We start from the raw sequence: 16875 nt of genomic DNA, 5'->3' as shown, positions 1-16875 counted from the left end.
CAGAACTGCTTGAATCTGGGAGGCAGAGGTTGCAGTGGGCCGAGATCATGCCACTGCACTCCAGCCTGGGCGACAGAGTGAGACTCTGTCTTAAAAAAAAAAAAAAAAAAAAAAAGAAAATAGAAGAAACAAATTATTATATAATATTTTGATCTGCCTAAGCATGTATACAAAAACTAAAGTTGGAAAAAATACCCACTAAAACATTAAAAAGGCTACTCTGGCAGAAGTTTAAATAACAAAAATCTAACATGAATTAAACTAATCAAGAAATCAGCCCTTCGTTAAAAACTTTACATGGATGACCCTGTGAAAATAATTTCAGGAACATAAAAATAAAAATAGAAAAATAGAAACCCCTTAAAACCACCATATATAAAAACTTGAGTTGGCTTTAAAAAAAAAAAAAGCTCTAAAGAGCACTTTCTAATGAAAATCTACCAATGTTGGCATAAATGTGATTTAAATATTGTTTTCTTAAATATGAGGATGGTAAATCATTCACGTTAAAAGTTGAAGGTTAAAATATCAACAGGATCAATGCCAGTGCCAAAATATTCTGTACTCAAATATTTTCTGGAAATGGAGTTATCTTTTAAATATTACTTTTGAAATAATTCCTAATAACAATCCAAATACAATGGCAGCATAAAGGCATTATTCTTTCAGTTCTTTGAAAATAGTATCAATTATTATTTGTATAACTTAGTAAATGTTCATATAGTGGTTCTCAAACCACAAGAATCCCCTGAAGGACTAATTAAAAATTCCAATTCTGGACCCCAGCCCCAGAAAATCTGACTTAGGACTAGTGTTGGATCTAGGAATCTGTATTTTTAACATGTATGTTGAAATAATTTTTTTTTTTTTTTTTTGAGACCGAGTCTCACTCTGTCGCCCCATGCTGGAGTGCAGTGGTGAGATCTCGGCTCAGTGTAACCTCCGCCTCCCGGGTTCACACCATTCTCCTGCCTCAGCCTCCCGAGCAGTTGGGACTATGGGGGCCCACCACCACGCCTGGCTAATTTTTTTTGTATTTTTAGTAGAGACAGGGTTTCACCATGTTAGCCAGGATGGTCTTGATCTCCCGACCTCATGATCCGCCCACCTCGGCCTCCCTAAGTGCTTATGCAGTCAAGAATAACATCCTGTTCTAAAGGTGATCCTCTCTATTCAAATACACCCTAGGGAGAAAGAAGAACAAAGAAGCAGGGAGAGGAAGATATAAAGACTGATTACAAACCTTTATATGCTGGAGCAGGTGGTGCTGTTGCCACTTTTCTGACTTTTGCTGTTACTGAGTTATCAACATTAACAACCATTACTGGATGGTCAATATGACCCAGCTTCTGGCCCCGGCCATTTGTTTCTTCTGAGTGTTCCCACTGTTTTCTAATCCGTTCCTTAAGTTTTTCCAGTTTGACATCATGTTGTCGCCGCTTTAGAATATCTAATCTTTGGGAATTAGAAGTACTAGTAGAGGATGGAGAAGAGTCAGTTAGTCGTAACGCTTTTGGATCAGTATCATGGGCCATGTTATTCACAGAAAGCTTCAAATTATTCTCACTTCCTTTTGTTCTGTTAGGCATTTCTTCCTCAGTTCTCATAGAAGCTCCCATCCTAATCAAACATTCAGAATTTTGCAATGCATCAATTGCTGGTCGATCATTTAAAAACCTAACAACTGTATCATTGATGACAGATGATTGGGAGCTCTCAAAATCACAGCTCCGTATATTCCGTTCTTCTCGACTGCCTATCATCCAGTTACCGCTCTCAGTCTTTTCTTCATTAACATCTACACAGTATACGTGCTTTGATTCCAGATGGCTGGAACTGAAATTGGAAGGTGCACCATGGATTTCCCTACAATAAAAAATAATAAGCTCTGTGACTATGATTAATAATATATTGTATACTTGAAAATTGCTAAGAGTAGATTTTAAGTGTTCTCACCACAAAAAAATAAGAATGAGGTAATACATGTTAAATAACTTGATTTAGCCATTCCACAAGGTATACATATATCAAAACATTATGCTGTACACTATACATACGTAGTTTCTACTTGTCAATTTTAAAGCTAAATCTTTTTAAAAGCTTTTCATAAAAGTACAAAAACTAGTCAAATTGAAACCAGTCATACAAACTGAGAACTCTAAGCTAGCATTAGAAACCAAAAAATAAAAAACCTAGAAATTCCAGTAAGTTAAAGATTGCAAAATAACCATTAATAATATTATGACTCAAGGCTCAATACCCCCTCTATCAAGTAAAATGGCAAATAATCTAAATAACAATCTGCATATTATAAAATAAGAAATATGAAAAAGATATGTAAAGAGATTTCCTAAGAACTCCAGAAAACAGGATGATAATCTGACTTTGGGTATTCACTTGACATTTGTCAATAAAACGTGTTATTTGCTACTCTATAAAATCTTAAGTACCAGAGAAAAAAGTTCTCAAATAATGGCATTTCATATATGTCACTTCTAAATAAGGAACCAAATTAATAAATAGACTGGGGGTAGAAATAAAGTGGAAGTACAATAAATATTTTCTTCCAAATAAATGTGGTTAGTAATGTTAAATCTGTTAACCACAAAGTACTTTTTGGCAGCTTCAAACTTTGTAAAGCGTATCTAGAAAATCAGGAGTAAGCACAGAAGGCTGGGCAAAGCCAAAGTACCTCTCACAAGTCCATATTCTCTGCTCATAGAAACACTAGCAAAAATCTTCCTCCAGAGACTATTTTTATTTTACATGTCATTCTAATAAGCCTTACTTTAGATTGATTGATTGATTGATTTTTGAGAAGGATTCTCATTCTGTCACCCAGGCTGGAGTGCAGTGGTGCGATCTCGCTCACTGCAACCTCTGCCTCCCGGGTTCAAGCGATTCTCCTGCCTCAGCCTCCCGAGTAGCTGGGATTACAGGTGTGTGCCATGATGCCTGGCTAACTTTTCTATTTTTAGTACAGACAGGGTTTCACCATGTTGGTTGGCCAGGCTGGTCTTGAACTCCTGACCTCAGTTGATCTGCCTGCCTCGGCCTTCCAAAGTGCTGGGATTACAGGTGTGAGCCATTGTGCCTGGCTGAGCCTTATTTTAGGAAAGCACTTTATGAAAAGGGAGGCTAATGAAGACAAATGTTTCAGCAGTGAGAAGAGCACATGAATCATGAAAAAAAAAGTCAAGAAAATTATAAAACCAGACCTAACAACAGGCTGGACCTGAACGTCTGAAACAGCAGCCACTAGCCACATATGGCTATTGAGCACATGATATGTGGCTAATCGAAATTAAGAGCTGCTGTAATGTAAGCTACATACTGGGTTCTAAACATTTAGGAATGTAAAATATCTTTTTTGTGTGTGACTACTAAAAATGTTGAAATTACATGTGTGGCTCACATTAATGGTTCTATTGTATAGCACTGATCTGATCTAGGGCATTTCAGGTAAAAGCATAAAACCCTAAGTACTACAAAGATTCTCAAGGCCACAACAACATAACATAGTAACTGTTTCTACTGAGATCATATGAGCGTGTGCATTTTTCTAAGAAAACAGTCTACAGCTTTTGTCAGATTCTCACTGGGGTCCACAACCCAAAAAACTTTAGATCCTGTTCTGAGTGGTTGATTATTGAAAAAGATGGGATCGCCAGGTGTGGTGGCTCACACCTGTAATCTCAGCACTTGGAGAGACCAAGGTGGGCAGATTGCTTGAGCCCAGGAGTATGAGACCAGCCTGGGCAACACGGCAAAAACCTGTCTCTACAAAAAATACAAAAATTAGCTGGGAGTGGTGGCGCCTGTCTGTAGTCCCAGCTACTCGGGAAGCTGAGGTGGGAGGATGGCTTGAGCCTAGGAGATCAAGGCTGTAGTGAGCTGTGATTGGGCCACTGGACTCCAGCCTGGGCAACAGAGTGAGACACTGTCTCAAAAAAAAAAAAAAAGAAAGAAAGAAAAAAGAAAAGAAAAAAGAAAGAGATAGGGCTGTGAAATGAGTCCTGTAGCTACCATCAGAGACCGAGGCTAAATGTGATTATTTTCACTATATTAACAAGACTGTAACAATTCACAGTTAAAATAATTTAGTTCTAAAATTAGCACACGCAAAAATAAAATAAAACATAAAATGTTAGGTTACGTACCATGTCCCACTCTCAAAAGAGGACAGAAAATTAACACCCCCCCAACAAAAAGTAATTTCATACAGTCTTTCATTCACTCACTCATTAAATATTTACTGAATACATATAAGGATGTTCACTATACAATTCTTTCAACTTTTCTGTAAATTTGAAATTTTTCCTGGTAATATTTTAGGAAAAAATATTTATTTAATATTTAGTACATGCTAGGCATTAAGCTAAGGCCTTGAGAGTAAGATTTACATCCTTAGATAGACTAATGGGCAGATATGGAACCAAAACATAATGCAACCTGAAAATGTTTTAATAGAGGAAGTTACACAGTACTTTGGGAGCAGAGAGGGATGATGAACTAGGTTGGGAAAATGGGAGTGGGGTAGAAACAGATCTGGTCATTTTTCCCACAGAAAGTAATAAGAGTTTTAAGTGAGGAATGGAATCCACCAGGTGGAGGGTATTCCATTCACAGCTATCTTCTGGGTATTTTTTCTTTTCTTAAAAGATACATAATTTACAGGCCAGCCGCAGTGGCTCACAACTGTAATCCAAGCACTTTGGGAGGCCGAGGCAGACAGAACACTTGAGCCCATGAGTTCAAGACCACCCCATGAGTTCAAGACCACCCTGGGCAATATGGTGAAACCCCGCCTCTACCAAAAATACAAAAAAAAATTAGTCGGTCATGGTAGCTAGCGCCTGTAAGCCTCAGCTAGGAAGCTGAGGTGAGAGAATCGCCTGAGTCCAGAAGGTGGAGGTTGCAGTGAGCCATGATTATGCCACTGCACTCCAGCCTGGGCAACAGAGCAAGACCTTGTCTCAAAAACAAAAAACCATAATTTACATACTTTTAAATGTAAAGTAGTATTATTTACAGGAAGAACACTGAACATAAATATAAAGTGAGCAACTCAGTCTCAATTCTGGTAATGATTATGTCTCTAGGCAAGCTGCTTAATATCTGTGTGTTTAGAGATTCTAAACTTCGATTATTCTTCTTCAAACTTTTCCCTTCTTTTTTTTAACTCTGAACTTTACCCAGATTATACCCCTGACCTTCTTTCTATAATTTTTCCAGCACTTCTAGTGCTTCGATACTAGTGATAACTCCCAGATTTATATTCTCAGGCCTGACCATCCCAGATACATTCTTACCCAAATTTTTAAATGCCTACTTAAAATTTCCACCGAGATAATTCAAAATTGCATCAAATGCAACATATTAAACATTGAACTGACAGTCCATCTCCATCTCTCAAGGTATGTAAAATTTAAGAGTACAAACATATACCTAGAACTACCAAGTATCATCATGAAACTTCTTGATTTGTGTTTAAAACACCAAAAAATGCTTACAAATGAAACAAAAAAACAGGCCCAGTGTTTATTACTTATTATAAGAGCATGAATGCACTGAAATCATTAGTAAAGTGTCCCTCAAATACAAAATTCTGTAAGTTTATCAGTTGAATATCTTAAGCTATGTTAACAAAAATGCAAAGCATTTTATATCATCTATGCTATCAAAATTCATACATCAATCTTGAACATCTAAGTTGCTGAAAGCCATTGGCAACAAAATAAAACAATAAATCAACTCACATTCTCAATAAGATAGGAATTTTATGTGACTAATTAATGCTACCCAAAAAAAAAGAAAAAAAGTAAGCAATATAAAGTTCACTATATAAAATAAATGATCTGAGATATTAAGACGAAACAAAAAAGCCACACTTCCAGAGATGGAATAATTTGTTTCTAGGAAACGTATTTATTACAATAAAGGTGGCTTGAGGCAACTATTACTATTTCTTCCCCCTCGAATATTTATCTGCAGAAGAGGCTACTGCAGTCAGTATTTCATGTTTGCACTATCTTTTGTAGCCATCTTTTGTGGAGAATGAAAAAGGTAGTAATATTAGAGTATTATACTATTTCACAACCAGAGTGCTATAAAAAACTCAGAAAACAACGTATACTCTTACTGTAAATATTACAGGCTAAACCTATTTGATACCTTTTTTTTTTCTCAATACTAACCTATAAGAAACCAAAGGTTCACGAAATTCCACACGATTATTTTTCTTCACATTACTCTCCAGGGTGGTGGCCCTGAGAGGACTACGAGATTTCTCTTTTCGTGATTTAGTGGATTTGGAGATTGGAGCATTAACCCAAGAATCATCCAGGTATCTACCATCTGAAGGAAAAGGAAATCTGTGAGAACATATAATATAAAATACAACTGCCTCTGAATTAGGCTGGTATCTTAAAAAAAAAATTAGGTATCTATTATTTCTAATAGTTGGATATTATATAAGTTATCTCTAGTATCTCTAGTTGGATATTATATAAGTACATGAAAAACATTCAGGTTAAATTGTTAAAGTAACTCCATTGATACAGAAATTGTATTCTGAGGAAACAATGCAAAATAAAATTCTACACATAAAATTTATTTTTTGTCATGGCTCTCACTCACTTAAGAGAGAAGTATCATATACAACCTAACAAACTCCCAGGTTAAAAAAAAATGTATATATATATATATATACACACACACACACACACACACACACACACACACACACACATATATATATATACATATCACAGTTTAGGTAGAGAGTACTGACATGGAGGTTTTCACCCACCAATTAAGAAACCACAGAATGGCCTGGCATGGTGGCTCACGCCTGTAATCCCTGCACTTTGGGAGGCCAAGGCAGGCGGATCACGAGGTCAGGAGTTTGAGACCAGCCTGACCAACATGGTGAAACCCCATCTCTTCTAAAAATACAAAAATTAGAAAGGCCCGGTGGCGCGGCTACTCAGGAGAATCGCTTAAACCCAGGACGTAGAGGTTGCAGTGAGTAGAGATCATGCCACTGCACTTCAGCCTGGGCGACAGAGTGAGACTCTGTCTCAAAAAAAAAAAAAAAAAAAAGAAAAGAAAGAAACCACAGAATCAAAATACAAAAGGTAACCCAAGAAAAATTTGCATTGTATCAATTTATGACAGTCACCATATGAAAGAGATTCCATTTATGATTTTAAATCCCAAGAAAAATATACGTTAAGTCAACTAAATTTCATTTCCAAAGTGCTATATATCTGTGAATTAAAAAAAAAAATCAGACATATATAACCTCAAAATGAAACTCTCATCACTAAAAACAAATGAAAACTCATTGTCAAGGGTGATGCAATAGTGCTAAAGTCCCTGGTCAAAAGATGGTGAAAACACCATCTACGGTTACTGAACATGAGGCTGCTTCATAGCTACCAAATATCAAAGGAAAAAAATTAAATGCCAGTGTCTCTGACAAAAAAGCAAACAACACGAGACTGTAAGAAGAAATCAAACTGAAATAAAACTATTACATCAACAACTTATATTTAAGGTAGAGTGTGGTAGCTACACCTATAATCCCAGCACTTTAAAAGGAGTCCAAGATGAGAGGATTACTTAAGGCCAGGAGTTCAAGACAAGCTGGGGCAGCACAGAGAGACTTCGTCTCTACAAAAGATAAAAAAAGATTAGCCAGGTGTGGTGGCACACCCCTGTAGATCTAGCTGTCTGTTTTGTCAAAATTTATATTTAATATATGTATATATTTGGAAGTAACTTCATACATACCTTTTCTACTTATTTTTCGAGTAGCACTTGTAGAAGACTTCTTGGTATCCATGACAGAATCACACACAGCTGTACTTGTAGGGGCTACTTCTAATTTATTTTCAATGTGTCTCAGCTAAAGTTTAAACACCATCATAAGACATAAGTTAATTCTGTAAATAATCCAGCTACCATCAATTTACATGGTTATTTAAAAGTATATTGCCCAATACCTTTTTCCAAAGTAGAAAAAAACTCAGGAATCCTTTCTTATAATATTTGTTTTTCATCATTTTTTACTTTAGCTATAATAACATCTGGCACAATGCTCCCCAAATTTAGACAAGAAAATCAGTAAGATTCTGAAGAATATCAAAGAGTTTCCATTTGACATGTTGATCTATTTTTTAAATTGTTGAGTATTTTCAAAGTAGTAAATTATCTGACTTTTTTTTTTTTGAGACGGTCTCGGTCTGTCGCGCAGGCTGGAGTGCAGTGGCGTGATCTCAGGTCACTGCAACCTCCACCTCACGGGTTCAAGAGATTCTCCCTCAGCCTCCCTAGAGGCTGGGATTACAGGCGTGCGCCACCACGCCGGGCTAATTTTTGTAGTTTTAGTAGAGATGGAGTTTCCACATGTTGGCCAGGCTGGTCTCGATCTCCTGACCCCAGGTGATCCACACACCTCAGCCTCCCAAAGTGCTGGGATTACAGGCGTGAGCCACTATGCCCAGCCAATTATCTGACTTTATATGTGACATACCATTATGCAATATATCCTGTGCATTTTACACGCAAAAATGAGGAAAGAATTATTTACCTGAACCAAAATTTAGGACTATAGGTACTCAAACAGCCACAGTGTTTTACAGTTTTATGTCTATAAAATAAGTTTCACAATAAAGACAAAATTCGCAAGATAGAATTCAGGTTTCACATACACACTCTGCAATATAAGTCAACTTTTGATTATAACCACCAAAGTTCTCAATGACTGAAAAGCATTTTCTCCTAAATGGTAAAGTATTACATGCTTACAACAAAAAACTAGGAAAACAGAAACAATATAAAAAATGAAATTAAAATCAAAATTCCATCACATATAGACATTTTATATAAAATTTTGATATATCTTCCTTCAGATTTTTTTTTTTTTTTTTGAGACAGGGTCTCACTCTGTCACCCAGGCTGGAGTGCAGTGACATGATCTCAGCTAACTGCAACCTCTGCCTCCTGGGCTCAAGCGATCCTCCCACCTCAGCCTCCCAAATAGCTGGGACTACAGATGTACACCACCATGCCCAGCTAATTTTTGTATTTTTTTTTGTAGAGATGGAGTTTAAAATTCAGAATCTGAATTTTAATAAGCTCCCAAATGTCCAGGTTGATCTCGAACTCCTGAGCTCAAGTGATTGACGTGCCTCAGCCTCCCAAAGTGCTGCGATTACAGGCGTGAGACACTGCGCCCAGCCTTCCTTCAGATTTTTGCATCCCAATGTATTTTAAAAATTGGAATAATTTATGATATATTAATAGTTCTACATCAGATTGTCTCCCCTACTTATATTCCTTTATCATCCTTAAATGTTCTTCAAAAACACCCAATAGTTTTGAAAAACAACTATTAACAGTTATTAACTTAGTGCTAAACTCTAAATTAGTTTAGCACTAAGTTAAGCTGGGGGATAAAAACTATTTCTACACTATAGAAAACATAATGCTCAGGTAGAAGAAAGAGAATATATATTGCTATATTTATAGGGCCAAAATATGACTCTGCATTGGGACCAAATCTAGGTTATAACACCTTTTCCAGATTTATTTTCAAACTAGTTCTAAAGATTAGAGGACAGAAAATATCACTGAAATACTTAGTAAAGAAATAGGTGATTCAAAATCAGGTGGCATAGAAAACAAAAAAGGGTATATTAGGAAAGTAATTTGCCCAGAGAGCAAATTAAAAAAAAAAAAGGGTTTCCCTTTGAATGAACTATGCATCACCTGCCAAATTTGGATTCCTAAACTTTAGACAAGATTGGCCAGAACACAAATGGGAACAGGTTGCCCATAGTCATTCTTCTTCAGTGGTAAGAGAAAAAAAACAACCTGTTATTGATACAAAAAAGAAGTAACTCTTTTAACACTGTTATTCAACATAGTACTGGAAGTCCCAGCTAGAGCAATCAGACCACAGAAAGAAATAAAGGGCATCCAAATTGGAAAGGAAGAATAATTCACAGTCTATTCAAGAAGTTGGTTTCCTTCATTTCCTCCCTAACAATGAGCTTTCTACATAGACAAAGCCCTACCTTCATCCTCTGTTTTAAATTTTTTTTTTTTTTTTTTGAGACAGGATCTCACTCTGTCGCCCAGGCTAGAATGCAGTGGTGTGATCATAGCTCACTGCAGTCTTGAGCTCCTGGGCTCAGGTAATCATCCCACCTCAGCCTCCCGAGTGGCTGGGACCACAGGCACATGCCACCACACCCAGCTAATTTTTGTACTTTTGTAGAGACAGGGTTTTGCCATGTTTTACAGGCTGGTCTTGAATGCCTGGGCTCAAAACGATCCTCTCACCTTGGCCTTCCAAAGTGCTGGGATTACAGGATGAGCCACTGCATTCAGTCTAAATTCTCTTTTCCACATACCAAATGAACAAATTTATTAAAGGTGAATAAACAGTACAAATTATTATTATTATTATTATTGAGACAGGGTCTTGCTCTGTCATTCAGGCTAAAGTGCAGTGGCACAATCAAGGGTCACTGCAACCTCGAAGCCTCAACCTCCCTGGGCTCAAGCAATCCTCCTGCCTCAGCCTCCTGAGTAGCAGGGACTACAGGTGCACACCACCAGGCCTGGCTAAATTTTGTTTTTTGGTAGAGACAGGGCTTTGCCATGTTGCCCAGGCTAATCTCAAACTCCTGGGCTCAAGCTATCTACCCACCTCAACCTCCCAAAGTGCTAGGATTACAGGAGTAAGCCACCGCAACCAGCCAATTTTAATAGTTTATATGGCATGATGCTTGTGCTCCTAATTCCTAAAGTAGTATCTTGTTTATGACTTTACCATTTAATAGTTGTCATTTATGTTCATTTTATAATATATTATATATTATATATGATAATACTATAATATTACTATATACTATGTATATAAGTATATACTGTATATAGTATATATATTATATATAGTGTATACATATTTTATATAGTATATATAATAATATATAGTATTATTCTATAGTAATATATAGTATTTAAAGAACAGTATGGAAAACATTTTAATCTATTCAATCATAACAGGAAATTGATTTTAATCCAGAAATAAATAAATGGAAGCTAAAACTACTTACAGCAGCCTTGGTTTGAGAAAGTGCATCCCACGATGTGGTTATATCTGCTGGGAAAAAAAATGATATTTACTTTATCAATCAACCAGAATCTCTGAATTAGACCTCAGAATCTGAATTTTAATAAGCTCCCAAATGCACTCAAAAGTCTGAAAACTACCTTATTAGGCAGAACAATTCCTCAGCAAATGCTTTATTATATTGAGTCAAAATGGGTTTTTATCTATAAGATTATTAAGCCAACATTCCCAACATACGGTTTAAAGGTAAACAGACACTGCTACCATTGGACTGGCATTTCCACTCACACCTGTATCAGACAGCTCCAAAAAAAAGCAGCATCCTCAGTTTACCCCAATGAGCTGAACAAATATAAAATTTTATATTGTACTGTATCTTATAATACAATGTGAAAAAGATTAGAAGCTATTCCAGATTTTGATCTACCAGTAAAAACATAGGTAAAATCCATTCAGTCTTTCAGATAACAACCCTTCAAATAGTTTAAGGTCGTGTATTTTCCATAAGTCATCCTTCTCCAGGATAAGTATTTCCACTTCCTCCAACTACTCTTCATATGACTTGATTTCCAGATCTCTCACAAACCTAATAATCTTCCTCCAGATGTACTCTAGTTTGTCAATCTCCCTCAAAAAATATCAATGCCTTAAAATTACCTCTAATGCATTATTTTAAAAAGAATTCAATGAGACTGTTACTATTATTATCTGTACCCCTATAAGTCTGTAACTATATTGGGGCTATATCATTTATTGAAATTAGGACAGAATTTCTGAAAAATTTTACATATACTGGTTCATTTTAAAAAAGGATTCCTGCTTTACAAAACAGTTTACCATAGGATGCCTTTTAACATGAAGCACCAGGTATATTTAAAATATAAGAGAATTTTAAAATGATTTATCCACTTTCTATAAATCAAAGCATAGGTATAATTTTCATTTATTAGACCAAAATTTAATACACATGACCTAAATGAGGTATTAAGTTCTGTTTAAAAAAACAAAATCATACCTTGAACAGTATCCTTGCTTTGAGAGTTCCTTGGATTTGGTAAAGGCACCTCTTTTGATTTGCTGCTCCTCATCCTGCCAATTTACCTGCAATCACATCAGTATTCACCGAACATCAATCTTATAATATTACTTTTCCTTAGAAAAATAAATCATTAAAAATTATATTATGACTACTTCACACCCATTAGGATGTAAATAGGACAAGCTACTATCAAAAACACACAAAATAATAACAGCTGGCAAAGATTTGCAAAACTAGAACCCGTGTGTGCTGTTCGTGGGAATGTATGACACAATCACTATGGAAAACAGTGTGGCAGTTCCTAAAAAAAGTAAAATTAGAATTACTGTAAGATCCAGCAATTCCACTTCTAGATATATGATATGGTTTGGTTCTGTGTCCCCACCCAAATCTCACCCTGAATTGTAATCTCCATAATCCCCAAGTGTCATAGGCGGGACCAGGTAGAAGTAATTGGATCAGGGGGGCAGTTTCCCCTATGCTGTTCTCATGATAATAAGTGAGTCTCGTGAGATCTAACGGTTTTATAAGCGTCTGGCATTTCCCCTGCTTGCACTAATTCTCTCTCCTGCCACCCTGCAAAGAGGTAGGTGCCTTCTGCCATGATTGTAAGTTTCCTGAGGCCTCCCCAGCCATGCAGAGCTGTAAATCAATTAAACATCTTTTCTTTATAAATTACCCAGTCTTGGATAATTTATAGCAGTGTAAGAATGGACTAATACAGTATACAACCAAAATGCTTGTGGAGGCTCAAGGAACTATTTGTACAACCATGTTCAAAGCAGCATTATTCATAGTAGCTAACGTGGAAGTAGCCCAAATGTCTATCAACAGATGAATGAATAAGCAAAATGACATTTATATATAAAATAGAATATTATTCAGCCTTAAAAGGAAGGAAATCTGATATGTGCTATAACATGAAAGAATCTGGAGGACATTATACTAAGTGAAATAAGCTAATCACAAAAAGACAAATACTGTATGGTGCCACTTACATGAGACAGTCAGAATAGTCAAAAACATAGAGACAGAAAGTAGAATGGTGGTTGTCAGGGGCTGGGAAAAGAGAAGAATGGAGAGTTACTGTTTAATGGGTTTCAGTTTTGCAAAATGAAAAGAAATCTGGAAATGGATGGTGGTGATGGTTGTACAACAATATGAATGTACTTAACACCACTGAACTGTACACTTAAGAAATGGTTGTAATGGTAAATTTTGTTATGTATATGTTACCACAATAAAAAAAGAAAGGAAAAAAATCATATCACAACTCAAAGGGAAAGATCATGATCTGCCCATGGTTAGCTCAGTGATAAGTAATACTGTATTTTCCTATGAATATAGAGGAACTAGTCTTTTATAAAAATCATGTAACAACACAGAAAGTTTGAAAAATATAAGAATAAAAACTCATTACTCCCTAAATCCTAATATAATCATTAATAAGTAATTTTATTACTATCATCACTGTAACTTCAATTTTGTGCCCTACTTTACTTAACTGCTGGACACTTGTGGTGGTTTTAAAATATATCCAAAATTTCTTTGATACTCCTTTCTTCAAAATGTGGAAATTAATTATTCTCCCATTGAGTATGGTGGGACTTAGAGACTTATTTTAAACTAATATCACATGTGGTGAAAGTGACAATATGTGACTTCTGAGACTAGGCTATAAAACGCATTCTCATCTCTCTTTGGATACAGGTGCCATGTCCTAAGAACAGTCAAGCAATCCTATAGATGTCCATGTGGCAAAGAACTGAAGCCGCCTGCCTATAGCTATGTGGGTGAGCTATCCCCTTGCAAGTAGATCCTCCAGACCAAGTCAAATCTTCACAGGACTACAGCTCTACCTGACATCCTGACTGCAACCTTATGAGAGACATTGAGCCAAAATCACCCAGATGAGCTGCTCCCAAATTCCTTACATACAGAAAATGTGAGATCACAAATGCTTGGTGTTTTAAAATGCTTAAATTGGGGTGGGAGGTTATGAGTTAGACAACAAGAGATAACCAATACAATATTATGTCCCATTTTCTCTATTACAAATAACACTGAAATGAACATATTTGTATTTATGAATTTCTGCTTATTTGGTTACCTAGAACAGTATCTGCAAAGTGTGCTAAAACTGAACAAAAGAATGTGAAGAACATGCTGCTCTTGAAATACAATGTCAAATTGTCTTCCAAGAAGGGCCTACCTGTTTCATAAATATCTTAAGATTATCTATTCTTTCTACTTTTGCTGATTTAACAGGAAAAAAATCTATGCTTTAATTTGAATTTGGTAGATGCTAGCAGGATTAAACGTTCTGCTCTATATCTTAACCTTAGTGCTTCATTGGTGAATTATCTTTTCTATCCTTTGCCCACGTACCTACCAGGATCTTAATGTTTTTCTTATCAAGTTAATGAGTTATTTGCCTTACAAATATATTAAACCTGTCATATTTGATAAACATTATTTTCTCCACTTAGTTGTATGCAGAGGCAGTACGGTATGTTGAATATTAAAAACACCAATTTAAATTTAAGAAAAAGAAGGGCTCACCTATTAAGTCCAAATATGTAAAACTAAAAGGTATGGTTAATTTTTAAGGAAGTTAATTTAATCTGATTTATCAGGGTAAATAATCCTGATCCATAAATTTCCTAGAAAACACCTCAAAAATGTTCTAAAAATAGGGCCAGGCACAGTGGCTCAAGCCTGTAATCCCAGCACTTTGGGAGGCTGAGGCAGGTGGATCACCTGAGGTCAGGAGTTCAAGACCAGCCTGGCCAACATGGCGAAACCCTGTCTCTACTAAAAATACAAAAATTAGCCAGGCATGGTGGCGCACATCTGTAAGCCCAGCTACTCAGGAGGCTGAGGCAGAAGAATTGCTTGAACCCAGGAGGCAGAGGTTACAGTGAGCCAAGATCGCACCACTGCACTCCAGCCTGAGCAAGAGAGCGAGACTCCGTCTCAAAAAAAAAAGTTCCAAAACTAGAATTTTTTCATAGATTATAGAATATGGCTCTAAGAAAAGTAAACAAGTTTCCTGAAAATAAAGGAGCATGGTAGAAAAACAACATTTTATCAACCATAAAACTTTAATCTGCCAACACAGTTTAAGAAATTAACTCATTTTGGCTGGGCGCGGTGGCTCACGCCTGTAATCCCAGCACTTTGGGAGGCCGCAGGAGGTGGATCATGAGGTCAAGAGATCAAGACCATCCTGGCCAACACAGTGAAACTCTGTCTCTACTAAAAATACAAAAATTAGCCAGGCATGGTGGCGGGTGCCTGTAATCCCAGCTACTCACGAGGCTGAGGCAGGAGAATCGTTTGAACCAGGGAGTCGGAGGTTGCAGTGAGCCAAGATCGCGCCACAAGACTCCAGCCTTGCAACAGAGCAAGACTCCATCTCAACAACAACAAAAAACTCATTTTCCTTTTGATGAAAATATTTTTAATCTAGCCAACTGAAAAATTAAGTAAACATCAGTTATATTACTAGAATATCTGTCAATGATTAGACAAAAAATTTCTTTGGGCAGATATCTTTTTGCTTTAAAACTAAAATAAGTGCTGAAATATATAGTGATTATCAATTTTCCAATGGAAAGGATATAATAAATAATCAAAAACTACATATGTGTCCACAATCTCTATGTCTTCTTAGCTAACACTAAGGCTGAGACAGTATAAATGAATAAACAAGAGAAAATTTATCTGCTTCAAAATAAATACCCTATTAATGGGCAATCATCTTTAATATAAATTACTAAATATTAAAAGTATGACATTTATGTAAAACTTCATACTGTAGAGTATCCCCCACTAATAATGAGAATGAATTACAACTACATGCAAAAAGATAGTTGAATATCACAAACCTGTTGTGAAGAATGCCAGAAACAAGAGTATATACCATATAGTTCCATTAAATAAAGTATAAAATAGGCAAAAGGAATCTATAGTGCTAGAAGTGAGGATAGTCATCACCCTTGAAGTGGCTAGAGAGGTGGCTGAAATTGGAGCAAGGAAGTGCTTCTGAGGTACTGCTAATATTCATGGATTTGGGTGCTGATTTCAATGGTACGTTCAGTTTAAGAGACTTTATCAACTTGCACATTTATGTGCTTTTTCAATGTATATTATACTTCAAAGGATTTTCAGATAACATGAATTATGCCCTGTTTTAGGTTTATAATTCTAGTTTTTGAGGCTTTTTTAAGAGACAAGGTGTCACTCTGTTACCCAGGCTGGAGTGTAGTAGTGCAATCAAGGCTCACTGCAGCCTCAACCTCCTGGGCTCAGGTGTTCCTCCCACCTCAGCCTCCCAAGTAGCTGAGACTACAGGTACACACCACCATGGCCGGTTAATTTTTTTTTTATTTTTATAGAGATGAGGTCTCACTATGTTGCCCAGGCTGGCCTCAAATTCGTGGGTTCAAGTGATCCTCCCACCTCAGCCTAAAGTGCTGGGATCATGGGTGTGAGCCACCAGATGCAGCCTATAATTATAGTTTTAAATCAGTTTTATGATATCTATTCTCATGAAGCACCTGAATTTGCCAATAATCTATCTTTCAAAATCTTTGGTTATCCCATGCCCTGTAAGTGAATATTTTAAACATAATGTGTTAAAGTTGGTCTGTTCTTTAAGAATACATTTTTTAAATCACCATTT

General features: G+C 36.3%; 1 protein-coding gene across 27 annotated transcripts in view; it reads right to left on the bottom strand.

Annotated features, from left to right (window-relative positions):
• The window catches only part of CEP350 (centrosomal protein 350), a 160066-nt gene that overhangs the window by 116457 nt on the left and 26734 nt on the right, over positions 1–16875 (bottom strand). For 11 of the 27 annotated variants that reach the window (NM_014810.5, XM_047435376.1, XM_047435384.1 and 8 more), the window contains exons 2-6: positions 12165–12250; positions 11133–11179; positions 7798–7912; positions 6198–6357; positions 1244–1866 (exon numbers count right to left, since the gene is read on the bottom strand). In NM_014810.5, coding sequence (NP_055625.4) covers positions 1244–1866; positions 6198–6357; positions 7798–7912; positions 11133–11179; positions 12165–12237 — 1018 coding nt within the window. In that variant the 5' untranslated portion in view covers positions 12238–12250. The remainder of the gene's footprint in view (positions 1–1243; positions 1867–6197; positions 6358–7797; positions 7913–11132; positions 11180–12164; positions 12251–16875) is intronic. The other 16 variants (XM_047435400.1, XM_047435392.1, XM_047435433.1 and 13 more) reach the window with 3 other exon arrangements.

The sequence above is a fragment of the Homo sapiens genome, chromosome 1 (assembly GCF_000001405.40).
Source record: "Homo sapiens chromosome 1, GRCh38.p14 Primary Assembly".
Classification (NCBI taxonomy): Eukaryota; Metazoa; Chordata; class Mammalia; order Primates; family Hominidae; genus Homo; species Homo sapiens.
Note: the sequence above shows the minus strand (reverse complement) of the source record. Positions and strands in the feature narration are given on the sequence as shown.